This window comes from Homo sapiens, chromosome 14, assembly GCF_000001405.40.
Source record: "Homo sapiens chromosome 14, GRCh38.p14 Primary Assembly".
Lineage (NCBI taxonomy): Eukaryota > Metazoa > Chordata > Mammalia > Primates > Hominidae > Homo > Homo sapiens.
Window position 1 is genome coordinate 76,813,553 of NC_000014.9, and position 18,338 is coordinate 76,831,890.

At 46.7% G+C, this 18,338-nt stretch overlaps 1 protein-coding gene across 13 annotated transcripts in view, besides 2 other annotated features; it reads left to right on the forward strand.

Annotated features, from left to right (window-relative positions):
* Positions 8,482-9,262: an enhancer, noted in NCBI's record as "NANOG-H3K27ac hESC enhancer chr14:77288377-77289157 (GRCh37/hg19 assembly coordinates)". NCBI's record gives its function as "activates a minimal SCP1, AML or CMV promoter by ChIP-STARR-seq in naive H9 embryonic stem cells {active_cell/tissue: H9 hESC(naive)}" and the evidence as "EXISTENCE:reporter gene assay evidence [ECO:0000049][PMID:30033119]".
* LRRC74A (leucine rich repeat containing 74A) overlaps positions 12,856-18,338 on the forward strand; it is a 43,897-nt gene continuing 38,414 nt past the window's right edge. For 7 of the 13 annotated variants that reach the window (XM_017021035.3, NM_001385106.1, XM_047431012.1 and 4 more), the window contains exons 1-3: positions 12,856-13,182; positions 14,739-14,867; positions 17,651-17,823. In XM_017021035.3, coding sequence (XP_016876524.1) covers positions 13,146-13,182; positions 14,739-14,867; positions 17,651-17,823 — 339 coding nt within the window. In that variant the 5' untranslated portion in view covers positions 12,856-13,145. Of the gene's footprint in view, positions 13,183-13,208; positions 13,298-14,738; positions 14,868-14,953; positions 15,205-15,538; positions 15,612-17,650; positions 17,824-18,338 lie in introns of those variants that run through there. The other 6 variants (NR_169573.1, NM_194287.3, NR_169572.1 and 3 more) reach the window with 5 other exon arrangements.
* Positions 14,780-15,467: an enhancer, noted in NCBI's record as "H3K4me1 hESC enhancer chr14:77294675-77295362 (GRCh37/hg19 assembly coordinates)". NCBI's record gives its function as "activates a minimal SCP1, AML or CMV promoter by ChIP-STARR-seq in naive H9 embryonic stem cells {active_cell/tissue: H9 hESC(naive)}" and the evidence as "EXISTENCE:reporter gene assay evidence [ECO:0000049][PMID:30033119]".

Below are 18,338 nucleotides of genomic sequence, written 5' to 3' on the forward strand. Positions count from 1 at the left end.
CTTTGAGGTATCTCTAATACAATCCAAGCACCTATTGTAACCAAGTACCCAGCTTGGAAGTTATATTCTTGTTATATACTTCTATTTCTTTATTTTTGTTCAGTTAACCACTAGGCACCCCCCGACACCCCAGCACCCCCCATACACACTGTTAGCATATCTAATTGTATGTTCGCTTAAAAGTTCCAGAGACTAAATCTTGAAACAATATAGGCATCTGTGGAAATCTCCACCAGGAGATTGATTCAAGGCTACAGTTAATTTATAACTCAGCCCAGCCCGAGATGATGCCAGCCCATTCACCAGATGGGCAGTAACTCAAGACAAGTCATCAGAACTCGTCATGAAGACCTGCACTGCCTCACCCCTTGCATACCCTCCATGCCAAAACTTCTTAAAGCCTCGCATTTTGCTTGGAAATGTGAAGCAGCTCCATTAAAGCAAAAGCCTGGATCGTTTTTCCCCACTGCTAGCTTTGGTTTATAATAAAGTCAGTCTCCTTCTACCATACCACGACCTTGCTCGTTGGTTTTGCAAGCGGCCGAATCTGCATTCGCTAGCACTACTAGCCACCACATAAGCCTTTACTGACTGGTTGAACAAAGCATATGTCACTAAATGAAGGCCAGTTCTGCCATCACTTCTGTGCCACCTGCGACCTCTTTGAGTCTCTCTTCCCCAGTCCCCCTCCCCCAATCTTCTACCCCAAACAGGCTCTGAAGGAGGGACTGGACAATGCACCCAGTTTCAGTACCCAGTGTCTGAGTTGCACGATTTCCAGTTTGTGGCTGGAGCCTTGGTTGTTCAGGGAAGCCTTCTGGGGAGTCACCAGATCCTGGACCAGCTGGGTACATCATAACACTGAAAGGCTAATAGGAGGAAGAAGGAGAGAGTTAGTATTGTGGCCTTCCCACTACTTACCCTTAGTTCTAGAGGTGGCAATGTCTGCCTGCCTTCAGGCAACAGCACTTATCCCTTTGAGATGAAACAGAGGCCCAGCAATCTGAAGGTTGGGAAGCTGCTTAGAAATTAGTGCACAAATGGTGGATCTACCAAAGGCGCTCCCGAGGTCAGGCCCCCTCCTTTGATGTAGCTTAAGTAAAACCCTCCTTGTACCCTCCTTCCATTTTGTACCATGAGTTATCCAGAAGTCCAAGTTCCAAATCAGATCCTAATCAAGGGTAACGGTTCCCTTATCTCCACTGGGAAAATGCTTTCAAAATACAAATTTCTAGGCCCTACTCCCAGAGTTCTGATTTAGCAGCCCTGGAATGAGGCCCTTAAACACTTACTTATTCCAATGCACGGTTTGGGAACCTCTGCTAAAGGATCCAGTCTCAACTGGGCTGTTCAGTGCACAGTGTGGGCACAATGTGTCAGCCCAACTGATCTATGTTCTTTCAGAGGCTTTTTCTGCGGCCAGTTAAGTGAGGCTTCCCTCTTTTTGTTTCCTGGTCCATAATCAGCCGTGTTGGAAGGTGTAGGGTGATATAAGGATCACAAGCTTTGGAGTTAGACCAACTGAGTTGAAATCCTGGCTCTGCCACTTTTTACCTGTGGAATCTCTCAGGTTGCCTAAGCTCTTGGGGCCTCAGTTTCCTCATTGTGCCTGACCCAGTATAAACTCTCAATGTTTACTATTACATTTTTGGATTTGGGCAGAAAAGCAGCTCCAGACGTGGCTGATGTAGGATCTTCTTCCACAATTTCTGGCTAAAATAGAGCTCCTGCCCTCCAAATTGTAATGAGTATTACTAAGCAAGCCAATAACTACAGGTTCCAAGGAGACTTGGCCGAAGGAGTGGAGCCTTAGGCTTCCCCAGTCAGAGGAAAATTACAAGTGCAATCTGCACAGTCTCCAGCCTCATTGTTTCAGAAATATCCCAAGAAGAGAGACGATTCCCTCAATTCATTCCAGCTGTGCTAACAATGAAGACAAGTATGAGCACCTGCATCCATCACTACCATGGTTTCCAGGGTGCAGAACCTATGTAATGGAGCAAGTGGGAGGTTTTGCAATACTTTGAGAGACTTAAGATGCTCTCTTAAAGGGACATTTCCAGTCTATAAGAAATTTAAGCCCTTGAGGGCTAAAATTTTACTTATGACAACAAATATATGTGGAATTCCAACAGAGTGGCTGCATTTATTAACTTATTGGTTGAACATGTGCAAATATTGGGGCGGCATAGTGCTTTCTTCAGGATTACAGAGGCTACGGACCAACGCCTGGGACAGTGCTGCCCAAAAGAAATATGTTGTGAACCACATATGCAATTTAAAATTTTCTAGTAGCCTCATGTAAAAAGTAAAAATAAATCAATTGATAAAGCAAGTGAAATTAATTAATAATATTTTATTTTACCCCATAGATCCAAAAATTTTGTATTTTAACTTGTAATCAATAGTTCAAGATGAGATATTTTATGTTCTTTTTTTGTACTAAGTCTTCAAAATCCAGTGTGTATTTTACTTGGACATCACATCTGAATTTGGACTAGCCGTATTTCAGGTTCTGAATACTGCAAGGAGCTAATAGCTACCGTACTGAACATGGGCTGTTCTGGAGAGTGCAAACAGCTTCTCAGATAGGATAGGCTGAAAAGATTTGCTCATCTTCAACTCTTACGATAACCTGAGGCCTCTACACTCCTAGTAATCTGCCTTCTCTGAGCCTGGTGTTTTCTTTGGGAATCTCAAGATTTATGACTAGGCATTCCCAGAATGTGCCAGATTAGTCTGAATTAATGCATTCATTTGCTCACTTATTCACTGATTCATGCATCCATGTGTTCATTAGAGATTTATCAGGCAGTCATCAATGTTTACCCCAACCTCACCCTTGACTTTCCTTGACCTCCTGCCCACTCCTCGATTCCTTGAAACTTCAGCCCTGGACTCACAGTCTTCTTCCCTACCTCTAGTCCTCCTGTCACCAGTGTGGATGAGCCATCCTAACCCCTGGAAGCTCATTGCCATGACCTCCTTAATGACCTTCATTTCCATGTGCTTCAGACACACCCTTCCCTGGCTGCACCTTGGATATGTCATTACTGGGCACTGTTTCCCGTCTGAAATCATAAATTCACACACCCACTCTGATGGCATGGCTTTCTCATGGCTTTCTGCCTCTCCCACTTCTACTTCATCTTTTCTTTTAACTCCATCAGACCCTTGATTTCTCTAGTCTGTCCTTCTCAAGCTTTCCCTCAGTCATCATTTCTTTCCCTATCCAACATGGAATTCCCATGACCCCTCTTTTAAATCACTCTTCCCAATATCATCAACTCTCCTGCCCACTGTTCTTAGATTATATCTGCGTGGGTCAGTAAAACTATTCTTCTTGGCTCTTACATCTGGGCTGCTGAGCAACAATGAATAAAATTACCAACCCCAAAGATTGAGGCCATTAGTGTGCTAGTCTCCAACCTCTCTTCTGCTCGCAACCCTCCCCAGCAATTCTATGCTCTTTAATTAGCTTTCTCTCCCATTCTCACAATGATTATTCTTCTCAAACTTTCTGCCCTATTGCCTCCCTTCTTGCTCTTAGGAGATTATCTCCCCATCAACTTTAGAGAAAAAAATAGAGCCACCAAGTGTAAATTCTCTACTCCCTGTTGCCACAACAATGCATTGACCAGCATCTCTAACCACCTTTTCCTCTTCTCCCAACACAGCAGTTGGCACTTCCACCATGCTCCGGACCCCCTCCCCCTTCCTCTGAGATGATGTTCCTTCTACTACCCCTCTCCTTTCCTTCACTGACCCCTTGTCATCAACATTTAAGCATGCTCAAGTCACTCCTGTCAAGAAGCCCTCCTTCAGTGCCAGGTCCCCTCCAGCTAGCCCCTGCGTTCCCACCTCTCACAGCCAATCTTCTTGCAAGAGTTGTCTGCAGCTGCTGTCTACAATTCCTCACTCTTATTCATGCTCATTCCACTGAGATATAGCTTCCACCACCATTACACCACCAAAACTCCCTCCTCACTGTTCCTGATGCTTTCCTTGTTGAGGATAGTAGGGTCCTGCAGAAAGAACACGCCCTAGGCATTATTATTTCTTGAATATTCTGTAATTTTGCATAACTTCCCCCTTCTTGTAAGATTCTCTTCCCTCGGTTTCTGTGACATTCTTGTTTTCCGCTTGTCTTGGTGGATGTCCTATCCTTGTATCCTTCACTTCTGTTCCTCTCACCACCACCCTTTTCCTGATGATGTTCCTAGGATTTCTCCTTTGGCCTCTCCCCTCCTCTTACTCCACTGTCCCTTCTTGAGAAAGTCTCACCACTCCAATGGCTTCAAATACCATCCATATGCTGACAACTCACACATCTACATTTTTAACCCAAATCCTTTTCCTGGGTCACAGACCCATAAATCTTTTTGCCTGTGGACCTCTCCCAGTGGGCACTCCAGCGACAACTCAAAGACTCAACCCAGTCAAAGCTGTACTCATCACCTCCCCGCCACCATCCTCCAAAAGACCCCTGCCCCAGCTCCTTTGTTCTCTCCTTTAGGAGTTGCACAGCCATGTACTGAGCTATCCTGGCCCCCGCTTTTTTCTTCTCTGCTTTCTCTTATATATCTGATTGATTCCCAGATCCATGTGGTTTGGCCTTCTTTGTATTTATTCAATGGGTCCACTTCCTCCAGCCACTCCTGACTAGTGTTGATTCTCCCCTACCTCGATCCATTTTCCACACTGTAGCCAGAGCAATCTTTCCACTGTGTGAATCGTATCAGGTCACTGCTGCCTAAGACCTTTTAGTGCAAACTCCCACTGTCCTCAAAATGTCAGCCAAGCTCCTTGGATTAACTGTACAGTCAATGCACCTCCCACCCCTAACTGCTTTCAGACCCACCTCTCAGTACCATGATGGCTTACCTCACAAACCAGTAGTTCAAAAGCACAACAGTTTAATCAGAGGGTACAGCACATGCTGGTTATGTGGTTTCTGAAATACTAGCCCCACAACAAAATTGAAAAGGTACAAATTCAGCTGATTTTCAACAATGGTCAAAAGACAATTAAATGGCAAAAGAATAGTCTTTTCAATAAATGGCGATGGAACAATTGAACGTCCACAAGTGAAACAAATGAATCTCAACCTATAACTTCACACCTTATACAAAAACTAGCTCAAAATGGGTCACGGGAAAAGTTCTGGAAATAGATAGGGGTGATGGTTGCACAACATTGTGCATATACTTAAACTCACTGAATTGTACACTTTAAAATGTTAAATTTAATGGTTAAAATGGCAAATTTTATCATGCATGTTTCACCACAATAAAAAAATTAAATGGATCATAAACCTAAATGCAAAAGCCAAAACTATAAAAATTCTAGAGCAAAACAGGAGAAAATCCGCATGACCTTGGGGTAGGCAAATAATTTTTAGATATGACACCAAAAATGTGATCCATAATAGGAAAAAAAAGATAATATTTGTATAATTTTGACAAAATTTGGCTTTATTAAAATTAAAACTTTTACTCTGTGAAAGACATTGTTAAGCGAATGAGAAGACAAGCCACAGACTGAGAGAAAATATTTGCAAATCCCATTTCTGACAAAAGACTTATTTCCAGAATATATCAAGAATTTGCCAAACTCAGCAATAAAAAAATAAACAACCCAACTTAAAACGAGTAAAAGGGCCAGGCGCGGTGGCTCACACCTGTAATCCCAGCACTTTAGGAGGCTGAGGCGGGCAGACCACCTGAGGTCGGGAGTTCGAGACCAGCCTGACCAACATGGAGAAACCCCATCTCTACTAAAAATACAAAATTAGCCAGGCGTGGTGGTGCATGCCTGTAATCCCAGCTACTCGGGAGGCTGAGGCAGGAGAATTGCTTGAACCCAGGAGGTGGAGGTTGTGGTGAGCCAAGATCGCACCATTGCACTGTAGCCTGAGCAACAAGAGCGAAATTCCATCTCAAAAAAAATAGTAAATAAAATGAAATGAGCAAAAGATCTGAACCAAGAACAAAGGAAATATATAAATGGCAAGTAAGCATGCGAAAGGATGCTCAACATCATTAATCATTGGGGAAATGCAAATTAAAACCATCATGAAATACCACTACACACTTACTAGAATGGAAGAACAAAACCAAAAACTGGAAATGGTAAATATTGGCAAGGATGTGGAGCAACTGATGCTGTCATACATTCCTGGTGGGAATTCAAAATGGGCATACACGTTTGGGCATAGTGGTTCACTCCTGTAATCCCAGCACTTTGGGAGGCTGAAGCGGGTGGATCACCTGAGGTCAGGAATTCAAGACCAGCCTGGCCAACATGGTGAAACCCTGTCTCTACTAAAAATACAAAAATTTGCCAGGCATGGTGGCACACACCTGTAATCCCAGCTACTCAGGAGGCTGAGGCAGGAGAATCGCCTGAATCTGGGAGGCGGAGGTTGCAGTGAACCAAGATTGCACTACCGCACTCTAGCCTAGGCGACAGAGCAAGACTCTGTCTCAAAAAAAAAAAAAAGAAAAGAAAAAAAGAAAAGGAAAGAAATGAGTCCACAGCAATCCCACTCCTAAGTATTTACTCAAGAGAGAAGAAAGCTCATGTTCACACAAAAACCTGCACATGAATGTTGATAGCCATTTTATTCATAATCACCAAAAAAGTGGAAAATATGAAGATGTCTTTCAGCAGGTGAATGCATAAGCAAAGTGTGGTACATCTCTGTAACAGACTATTACTCTGCCATAAAAAGGAACTCTGCAGCAACATGGATGACTCTTAAATGCATTTTGTTAAATGAAAGAAACTAGTTCAAAAAACTACACATTGTATGGCCTCATTAATATAATTTAGGAAAGGCAAAACTATTAGGATAGAAAAGAGAAGACTGGTTTCCAGCAGACAGGGAGGGACGAGGGGTAAAGGAGGCAGCATGAGAGGCTGTTGAGGGTGATGGAACTCTTTTGAATTGGACTGTGGTGGTGGATATGTGACTTCATGGATTTGTCAAAACATGTAGAACTGTACACCACAAAGAATGAATTCTGCCATATGTCAGCCACAATAAAATCAACCAGGATATTGGGGAAAGATGAAATGCAGACTCTGACAAATGAATCTAACTGTATTACAAGTGAATTAAATAACCCACTGAAGCGGGTGGGAAGAAAGAGTTGACCTAAATAACTGGGGAAAAAAGTATTTTGACTGGCTACCACAAGGATAAACAACCACAACTTATATACTGACACCATGCTCTAGTTAGTAAATTTGTTTCTAGGACTATGGCTTAGCAATTCCGAAACTAATTATGTATATATATTAGAGATGAACAAATAAGCAGATATATGGTAGAAAACAAGAGCCAGGTTTCTGGCCAGGAGAAAGAAATGACAAATATGAAAAAGGAGAAGGCATGAATGAGTCATGTAGTGCTAGGCTGGGGATCGAGGCATCATTATAGATGGTTTTTGTTCAATGTACATATATAGATAGACTGGTATGGAAATAAATATATATGTGTGTTATGGGTGGATTAGTTTACATGCACACACACACATTTCCTAGCTCTGTTCACCAAAAAGTCTAGAAGTAGTGATACCCACATGGTGATGAATGCACAAGCTTCCAGATCTAGGTTTCCAAATATAATTCTCCTTGGAGAGATAACTTCTTCCTTTTTTTTTTTTTTTTTTTTTTTTGATAAAGTCTCACTGTCACCCAGGCTAGAGTGCCATGGAGAGATCTCTGCTCATTGCAACCTCCGCCTCCCGGGTTCAACTGATTCTTGTGCTTCAGCGTCTTGAGTAGCTGGGACTACAGGCACGTGCCACCACACCTAGCTAAGATAGGGTTTTGCCATGTTGGCCAGGCTGGTCTCGAACTCCTGACTTCAGGTGATCCTCCTGCCTCAGCCTTCCAAAGTTCTGGGATTACAGGCATGCGCCACCACGCCTGCCCAGAAAAGTAATTTCTGTGACTCCAGAGAGTGAGGGAGGGCTCAAAAAAAGGGGAAGGAGGATGTCAAAAGGGCACAGGACAGCCGCCCCGTCCGGGAGGGAGGTGGGGGTGGTCAGCCCCCCGCCCGGCCAGCCGCCCCATCCGGGAGGGAGGTGGGGGGGTCAGCCCCCCGCCCGGCCAGCCGCCCCGTCCGGGAGGGAGGTGGGGGGGTCAGCCCCCCGCCCGGCCAGACGCCCCGTCCGGGAGGTGAGGGGCGCCTCTGCCCAGCCGCCCCTACTGGGAAGTGAGGAGCCCCTCTGCTGGGCCAGCCGCCCCGTCCGGGAGGGAGGTGGGGGGGTCAGCCCCCCGCCCGGCCAGCCGCCCCGTCCAGGAGGGAGGTGGGGGGATCAGCACCCCGCCCGGCCAGCCGCCCCGTCCGGGAGGGAGGTGGGGGGGTCAGCCCCCCGCCCGGCCAGACGCCCCGTCCGGGAGGTGAGGGGCGCCTCTGCCCAGCCGCCCCTACTGGGAAGTGAGGAGCCCCTCTGCCCGGCCAGCCGCCCCGTCCGGGAGGGAGGTGGGGGGGTCAGCCCCCCGCCCGGCCAGCCGCCCTGTCCAGGAGGGAGGTGGGGGGGTCAGCCCCCCGCCCGGACAGCCGCCCCGTCTGGGAGGTGAGGGGCGCCTCTGCCCGGCCACCCCTACTAGGAAGTGAGGAGCCCCTCTGCCCAGCCACCACCTCGTCTGGGAGGTGTACCCAACAGCTCATTGAGAACGGGCCGGGATGACAATGGCGGTTTTGTGGAATAGAAAGGGGGAAAAGGTGGGGAAAAGATTGAGAAATCGGATGGTTGCCGTGTCTGTGTAGAAAGAAGTAGACATGGGAGACTTTTCATTTTGTTCTGTACTAAGATAAATTCTTCTGCCTTGGGATCCTGTTGATCGGTGACCTTACCCCCAACCCTGTGCTCTCTGAAACATGTGCTCTGTCCACTCAGGGTTAAATGGATTAAGGGCGGTGCAAGATGTGCTTTGTTAAACAGATGCTTGAAAGGCAGCATGCTCGTTAAGAATCATCACCACTCCCTAATCTCAAGTACCCAGGGACACAAACACTGCGGAAGGCCGCAGGGTCCTCTGCCTAGGAAAACCAGAGACCTTTGTTCACTTGTTTATCTGCCAACCTTCCCTCCACTATTGTCCTATGACCCTGCCAAATCCCCCTCTGCGAGAAACACCCAAGAATGATCAATAAAAAAAATAAAAATTAAAAAAAAAAAAAAAAAAAAAAACAAAAGGGCACAGGAGCCCACCTGAAGGAACTCTCAATGGCCAAAGTTGGAACTTGAACAGTAAAATAAATGATAGTATTGTATTGTAACCCAAGGAATAAAATAAACCTGAGTCCCTATAGATACAAACAACTGAATAAACAAGTAGCAGAGAGGGGCAACTCCTATAGAAAAATTCCAGTTGATAAATGCAAAAGGATTGCGAATACAGAAAATCACCATGAGAACACCACAGTAATTGTTGAGGCACGATCCATTAATAGATGCTAACATTAGTGGGCAAAAATTTAAGCAGAAAGAGGATATTTGCAGAGTCTTGAAGTATCTAAGTCTGTATTCTGTAAAAAAGGAAAAATAGCAACTTTACTGTAGCAAAAGCTGGCAGATACCACCTTGACCAAGTGATCAATATAATACATCTTGACATCACGTACTGCTGACACACACCAAGAAGGGTACATCAACTATGTGGCACCCTTCCCAATAATCATGACAAAAACATCAGCCAAACCAAAATTGGGGACATTCTAAATATCTGACCAGTACTCTTTGAAAGTGTCCAGGTCATGAAAGACAAAAGAAAGACTAAGGAAATGTCACAGGTTGGAGGAGATCAACAGAGCCACAATAACGAATGTAATATGGCATCCTGGCACCAAAGAAGGACATTAATGGGAAAACTAGTAAAATACAAATATAGTCTGTAGTTTAATTAATAGCATTGTACTGATACTAACTTAGTTTTGATCATTTTTCCATGGTTATAGACGTTAACATAAGGTGAAGCTGAGTGAAGAGTAAATGGGAACTCTGTTATATTTGTAATTCTGTTATCTAAAATTATTTCAAAATAAAAAGATTAATTTTAAAAAATGTGGCTGGGGTCAGGCATGGTGGCTCACACCTGTAACCCCAGCACTTTGGGAGGCCAAGGCGGGCATATCACCTGAGGTTGGGAGTTCAAACCAGCCTGACCAACATGAAGAAACCCCATCTCTACTAAAAATACAAAATTAGCCAGATGTGGTGGTGCATGCCGGTAATCCCAGCTACACAGGAGGCTGAGGCAGGAGAATCGCTTGAACCTGGGAGGCAGAGGTTGTGGTGAGCCAAGATGGTGCCATTGCACTCCAGCATGGGCAATAAAACGAAAGTCTGTCTCAAAAAAAAAAAAATAATAAAAAGTGGCTGGGCACGGTGGCTTACGCCTGTAATCCTAGCACTTTGGAAGGTTGAGGCTGGCGGATCACTTGACCAGCCTGGCCAATATGGTGAAACCCTGTCTCTACTAAAAATATGAAAAATTAGCCAGACGTGGTGGTATGCGCCTGTAATCCCAGCTACTTGGGAGGCTGAGGCAGGATAATTGCTTGAACTTAGGAGGCAGAGGTTGCAGTGAGCCAAGATCATGCCATTGCACTCCAGCCTGGGCAACAGACAGAGCAAGACTCCATCTCAAAAAAAAAAAAAAAAAAGATACCCTTTAATAATACAGAAATTTTCAAAAATAATAACTTATAAAAAGAGTTTACAGGTATTACATTTCAGGGTTTTTAAAAAATACACATTTTTGGCCGGGTGTGGTGGCTCACACCTGTAATCCCAGCACTTTGGGAGGCCAAGGCTGGCGGATTATGAGGTCCGGAGATCGACACCATCCTGGCTAACACAATGAAACCCTGTCTCTACTAAAAATACAAAAAATTAGCTGGGCGTGGTAGCGCATGCCTGTAGTCCCAGCTACTTAGGAGGCTGAGGCAGGAGAATGGCGTGAACCCGGGAGGCGGAGCTTGCAGTGAGCTGAGATTGCGCCACTGCACTCCAGCCTGGGCGACAGAGTGAGACTCCATCTCAAAAAAAGAAAAAAAAAGAATTAAAAAAAATTATGGTCCTTAAACATTTTTATTTTTTCCAGAATTGACTATTATGCAAAAAATATTGCTGTCAACCATTCTAAAGAAAATATCTGATGATGTCACTCTCCTGTTCAAAAATCTTCATTGTCTCCCTATTGCCTTTTAATTGCATTCGGATCTCTCCCTGAAGCTGCCCTGGCCCTGGTGGCCTCCCCTTCTGCTACTCGTCTTCACAGCCTGCACTCCTATGCGGGGAGCTGCTGCCTTCCTTCATCCTGACCTCCTGGAAATGCCTTTTCCCCAGACTCTACTTGTCCAGAGCCCAAGCAAGTTCCCCAATATGAAGAAACCTCACCCTCCCCTGAACGCCCAGCGCATTTCCCCAAAGACCCATCTCAGTTTCCCTGCTGCTGTTGGATCCAGGCTGGTGGTGCCTCTATCCAGTGGCTTAGTTGGAGCACCTACCTCTAGATTTTCTCACTCACCCTTCAGTACCTGAGACCAGATGGTGCCGTCCAAGTAGAGCACCCAGAGCCCTAGACCAGGACACACATGCTCTCTGATCCCTCTTTCTCCCCCTTAATGCTTCCTTATCCTCTGCAATAGTGTGGGCCAGCCAGATGCCCTGAGGATCACCAGGACTCATGTCTACCTGATCATCCTAGGAGCTGATCACTCTCCCTGGACTGTTTGGTATTTCTTTAGAAGGACCACATGAGATTGGGCCACCAGAATGGTGCTGCCATGCCGATTTAGGGTGACTCAAATTGTTTATACAAGCAAGAACTCTACCAAAAATATTTGCCCAGGACCCTCACCCTAGGGTGGCCCTGTCAATTTCTATTATGCATTGCACATGCCTTAAAAGGGTCCTGTCTTAATCATGTCTGCATCCCTTCCCCACAGTGGTGCCTATTTTAGCGCCCGTACGTAATAGAGACTCAATATGTATTTCTCAGCATGAATGCTTGAAGGAACAAGTAACATCTCAGGTATACATATTTCTTCTGATCCATGGTTCTAATCATGTTTTCCTTGCACACATTTCTAGATCTTCCTCATTCTGAGTAGCAAAAAAAAAAAAAAAAAAAAGGAATTTTCACATCCTCAAACCCTCCAGTCACTGACCTGACCATTGATGTCCTGAAAACTTATCAAGAAAGAACAAATGTGCCTCCAGATTCTCCCGAAACCAAACTGCAACTGGACTTCAACTCCAACACATGTGAGAATGGCCGAGTGTGGGAATGCTAGTTGAACCGTCTCAAGGTAGGCAGCCCCATAGTTTGGATTGAACAATGCTTTGGCTGCAACAAACTGTAGTGATAGGACATATGTTCATTGCGCTGTGCTTTTGATCTTCAGCTCCAAGGTTAAGATGCTCTCCCACGGGGAAAAGAAAAAAGGAAGAAGAGCTGGGCAGAAGAAAACTGACTTCACCCGTCACTGAAATACTTCATACCTGAAGCACAGCTCTCTTGCGAGAAGAACATGATGGCAGCTCTTCACAGTCACCTAATTAAGGGGCTTGGGTTGGGTCCTGACTCAGAGGGAAATACAACACCACTGAGAGGAACCCCCCACAGCACCTGAGCACTCACAGCCAAGCCTGGGCTTGGCCCCAGTAGACATATGAGAACAGGTGACTGCCAGAACCACCCAGAGGGCGGGAAGCCTGCTGTTGCCAGGTCCACCATGTGAATCACAATGACTGCATGAGGTCACAGAATGTTGAAGATGAAATGAAAGTGGCTCCTGAGTCACAAAGTCACAGGCGGGTGGGGATCCTTTCAACAGGGCTCCCAGCAATAGAGCAGTCCCACTCTCCCAGATGAGCTGGAGAAGTAGCTACCTCTCCCAGACAGAGTTGGGGTCAAATTCATGCACATCCAATTCCCATCAAAGCCTACTCTTCCCAGGGCTTGCTGGGAGGGAAGGATAACTGCAGGCTCCCCTGGGATGCCCCCAGGTGAGGGAAGTTCACAGAGTTTGAGACAGAGGTGAATGGACAGGTGTGCTTCTTAGGGAAGCAGTCGAGAGGTGGCAAGAAGTTGGCAGCTGCCCTCAAGAGGGTCCTGGCACCATGGACAATGACAAGCCTCTTCAGCCTGAGACAGAAGGTGAAAGGGCATCCCATCTCTCACCACTCAGGCCCGTCCCTGCTGCCTCAGTACAACACCTAGTGATCACAGGACCCTGAAGCCCACTTCTTTCCTCACCTGGGACCCTCTAGAAGTAGGATGATTTGTTATACTGACTTGGGTTCAGGCCTTGGCAAACAGGAAGAATTGGCTGCAGTGCTATGCCACAACTACCTCATACTGGCTCTAGCCAGCTTTAATTTTTATTGTGTGGGCCAGTTGATACCACATTTATAGTTTGAAATCAGTCACATTGGGAATATTTACACCACATGAATTGGCTAACACTATAAATCAGGATGTTTTTGGTGTTGTTTGTTTTTTTTCCTGGAGAATCAATTGTTAAAATTTACCAGCATTCTACTGGTTGAATGGAATTCTAAATTGTTTGACAAGGAAATTAACACTCAGAAATTCATCACTTTTCTAAGGGCACTCAGCAGTCTGACAGCCAAGCTGTTGTCTGTCTTCTAACTACCAGGCCACTGCTACCTGCACTGTGTATCCCAGACAGTCTGGGAGATAAATGTTGGAACCTGGGTCTATGGACAAGGATTAAGAAAGACCTGCATGGACTCATTAGGAACCCCACCATCCTAGAATCTGGGTGGTCAAAACTTGGGACCCCTGCCACAAATGCTCAGCCCACCCAATGAGTAGGTTGGCTAAATTCTGACAGGTCATTCAGAGGCATGGCATGGCTTCTTGAAACTACTGAGTCCTGTCAGTGCCTAAGGATTGAGCTCTGGATTTTATGTGTGGCTTCCAGAAGCCCATGGCTTTCAGGAGCCTATGGCTGATCCCAGGTCAATGGCCCAGAGGTGGTAAAACCACATCTAGCAAGTGCAGAGGACTGGTGTGAGGGGAGCTCTGTTCCCAGCAATGAATATGATTAATTCATTACTATGAATTAATCATAGTAATTCATTTCGACCCAAGGGAGATTTTCAAGCCCCTCCTTCTTCCTAATCACAAATCAATGTTAGATTGGAAGGAAGAGAAGCTAAGTCAAATTCTTAGGAATCAAGTTCTCTCTCTTGCTCTCTGGAACTGCTCCTGGTCCATTTTATTTTCTATTTGACCTAAGTTGTCACCTCCCCTGCCCTGCCCTGCCCCTTATACTCCCTGGCACCATTTGTGCCTGACAATAAGGAAGCCTATGTATCGGGACCCACCCTTTCACCTGAAAGAGTAACAGCACACCCCAAAACCCACCCAAACACTTAAGAATGGGAAAGTGTGAGCAAGGAGCCGATCTCCAAGGCACGCCTCAGACAGGGAAGGGGGAAGGAGCAGCCGGTCTCCAGGGAGCAGAAGGGAGTTGGTTTCACAAGCTCCCGTAGACCCTGCAGCCGGAGGCAGCGCTATTGGGGAAGGGAGGTTTGTAGAGTGGACTTGCCCTGGCAGGGCTTGGCACCTTGAGGACCTGGGACTCAGAGGAAGGGAGCAGAGATGGAGGGGCGGCAGCGGCAGGCTTTATTGGGAGGCCAGCAAGTTTTATTCCTGGCATCAAGGAGATGAGTTTTTTCTTCCAGATGAGATTGAAATTGAGCCAGTACGACAGAGCAGCGATAAAATGCTCTACTGTGAGGCCGAATCCCCGCCGACTGTTGAAAAAGTGAAACCAGCCCGGGAGAATTCGGAAACAGACCTGGAGATTGAAGGCGAGCATGGGCATTTGGGGGCAGTCAGGGCAGCTTCTCCTCAGAAACTGGAGAAATCTGGTTTCCAGGAGCTGTCATCTCACTCCTTTCCAGAGTCTGCCCTGCGGATGGCCTGTGGAGGAAATGTGGCAGAAAGGCCTGCTCGATTTTGCCTGGAGTCCTCCTCCGGGCTGGCAGGGGAGAGCAGCTGCAGCTTCCCACGCTTGTCACCTGCCTCAGGAGCAGTGCCCTCACGTCGTCTTGTTAAAAGCGGAATCAATACACAAACAAGGTTTTCTAATCTTCTAAATGTTTCCACGTGGGGCATCCTATGCAATCTTTGCAATAGTCCTAGGAGGTAGGCATCTTTGCCAGTTTTCAACAGAAGAGGAACTGGGCCTTAAAGAGATTATAGGCATTGCCCAGGGACAGCGGGAGTTTGCCCAGCACGTTGGCTGATCCCGTGTTTGACTCACTCTGATGGTTCTGCCTTCTGTATTCCATATCCCAGGCCCCTGGAGTGTTTCTGTGGCCTATCTTGCATCCCAGTGACTTTCCCACACTCACCTTAGAGCTCTGGTTTCCCCTACTTTTCTTGATAAATCTAAGCATGCCTGGGTATCGGGACTGGCTGAGCTGAAACAAAGACTCTGTTAATGCAAATAACACCTCCACCCTCTCTCTCCTCCCAGTTTCCCCAAGAAGGGAAGCACCGAAAGAGAACACTTGTGAAGCAAGAGAATGACGCTGGTTCCATCTGACAGGGTCAGCCTCAAACTTCCCAGGCCAAGCCTAGCCCAGTCACCCTTCCTCCCCTGCATCCTTGCAGCTGGCTGGTGGGCAGTGATTCACAGGCAGCAGAGATGGAGGAAGGCCAGTTCTGCCAAATTAAACTGTGAAGTTCATCTGCATAGAGTCAGTTTATAAACCTCCCCACCATGGTCAACATACAACATACATCTTCACCCTTCTACGCAGACCTCCTCCCCGCTGACCCCCAGGCAGCTTGTTGCTCTTTTTCTGGCTTCTTGTCCACTTCAAGTCTGTTGTTAACGTTGCTTCTAACACCCAACTTCATTCACATGGTTGGAGAAGGTAGCAAAGGACAACACTGGATGTTTGGCCAAAGGGTCCTGTTTCTATCTCATTCCCCCATCTCTTCCCCTGACTGCAGCAAGTGCTAACACTGTCGCAAGCTGCCCATAAAATATAACAATAGGGAACACAGCTAGAAAGGGTCAGCATCAAACCCAGCAGAATTAGTCCCAGGGACAAAACCTGGGGGTTACCTTCCCTGCTTTTGCCAACAGGAACCTCTAATGGCTGAATGTGGCACCAAAAACTCTGTCCTGAATGGTAACTCGGGGCTCAGCAGCCCTGGCTCCTGGTGCTCCTGCTGTGGGTGCTGAGACACTGGGAATGGGCAGGGAGGGCATGGGAAATGGGCCAGCTGGGAGCAGTGCTGGCTGTGAGTCTAGAGAAAAGGGGGAGACGAGCCTGGTTTGCTCACTTGCCATGAGCTGTTTTTCTCCACAACAGTGGTTCTCACCTGGAAGCAATTTTGCACCAAGGGGACATTGGGCAAACTAGGGGAGGGGGGTTGCTACTGGCATCTTGTGGGTCCACGCCAGAGATCCTACTAAACACCCTACTATGTATAGGACAGCCCTCAGAACAGAATTATCCAGCCCAAAATACCTGCAGTGCTGAGGCTGAGAAGCGCTGCTGTACAAGCGTCCCAAAGAGAAGTCTAATTTGTAGTTGTGCTTGCAAAATCAGCTTCCCTGTAAAGCACTTGTCCTTTCACCAACAAAGCTCCCATTGTCAGCCTTAGATTGTTTGGAGGGGGAGGGGGTTGGCCAAAGGCCCTGGGATCTGAAGGAAAAACAGATGCAGACATAGACGCCAGCTGGCCTCAGGAAGCCCTGCCATAGGCTGGACTTGCCTAATGAGGACACAGCTGTGGGGCACCCAGAATCCAGGGAGGCCCGATGCCCAGTGACCATGGGCCAGGCTGGCCTAAAGCCTAAGAAATAAAGGCCCCCAGGGGTTAGAATGGAAAGGTGCAGTCCCCACTTCTGTTAGCTGGTTTTAGCATTGACCAACTGTGTGTTATTTGAGGCTAGGTTTGTCGTCAATAAAGCAAGGATGACAGTCCTTTTTATAAGGAAAATGACATGCAAGCTTTTGAAAGAAGAAAGACCATTCACATGCAAGCATGCTTGTTTCTCGCTGATGTGGAGGTCTTTCCATATTCACTGGTTTGCCATTTTGAGAAGTCCACTCTGTCCTAGTTGGGCTTTTTAAATGTTGGTGCCTCTCTAAGTCTTTGGTGAAGCTTTTTTCATGACTCACAACCTTGTGATAGTGGCGGTGAAACTAAAAGTGAAATGAAGATTCCATCAACCATCAAAAGTCATCCGCGTTTGGCCTTTCAGAATTGTCCAAAGGTGGGCAAGAGGGCTTGGGCCTTCTATGTCCTTGATGACCAGTCACTGGATGTGGCCAACCTGGGCAGGTGGGGTGAAGCCCACTGCTCACTTCTAGGAAAGCTTCTGGCCTAAAACCATGGGCCTCATCTCCTACCCAAAGGGAAACATTCATCTGGGACTTTCTGGAGTTAGAGTCTCCCTCTCCCACCATGGACTGACTTCCCAGACAGGAGCAGGCTTCTTAGCACATACCCACAGGGAGAGATCCTCTGGCAGAGGACAGTCTAGACATGAGTGAATGTCACTGGGGCTAGAGGGGAGAGAAGGCAAAGGTGGAAGAGAAATCCTACTTCAGCCCATCTTTCTCTGCAGATGATGAGAAATTTTTCACCACTGGACAAAAGGAGCTGTACCTGGAGGCCTGCAAGCTGATGGGTGTAGTGCCTGTCTCCTACTTCATTCGGAACATGGAGGAGTCCTACGTGAACCTCAACCACCACGGCCTGGGCCCCAGGGGTACCAAGGCTATTGCTATAGCCCTGGTGGTGAGCATGCTAGTGGGAGCTCATGAAACCTGGAGGAGGTGGAGGGTTGGCAGAGTGGTAGGCCCAAGATTCAGAGGGCCCCTCCTATGGAGCCTAAACCCACACTTTATGCCCTTATGCCACACTGCCCTGGGCTCTGCTTGGCTGCCAGATGATTTATTTAGCTCCTGGTAGGAGGCTACTAGCAACCTGGGCCTTGGAAGTCTATGCTCCTTGCAGAGACTTTGAGGAGAAAAAAATAGAAGTCTATATACTCTTTGCTGTTCAGGAAGCAAAGGCACCAGCCCCTGGGCCCAGGAAAAGTGACCAGGCCCAATTATCAATGTAAGAGCACCAACAAAATGCCAGCCTGGGTCTTCATTCCAAAGCTCACTTTTGCTGTAAATGGGTTTACTACTGACCCATTCCATTCAATGTCTGCCTTGTGCAACATTATATTTCATAAAGACCACGGTGTAGAGTAAATCAAGTTTTCCCACAGAAATAGTGTTATCTCTCAGCTTGGTATGACCAAA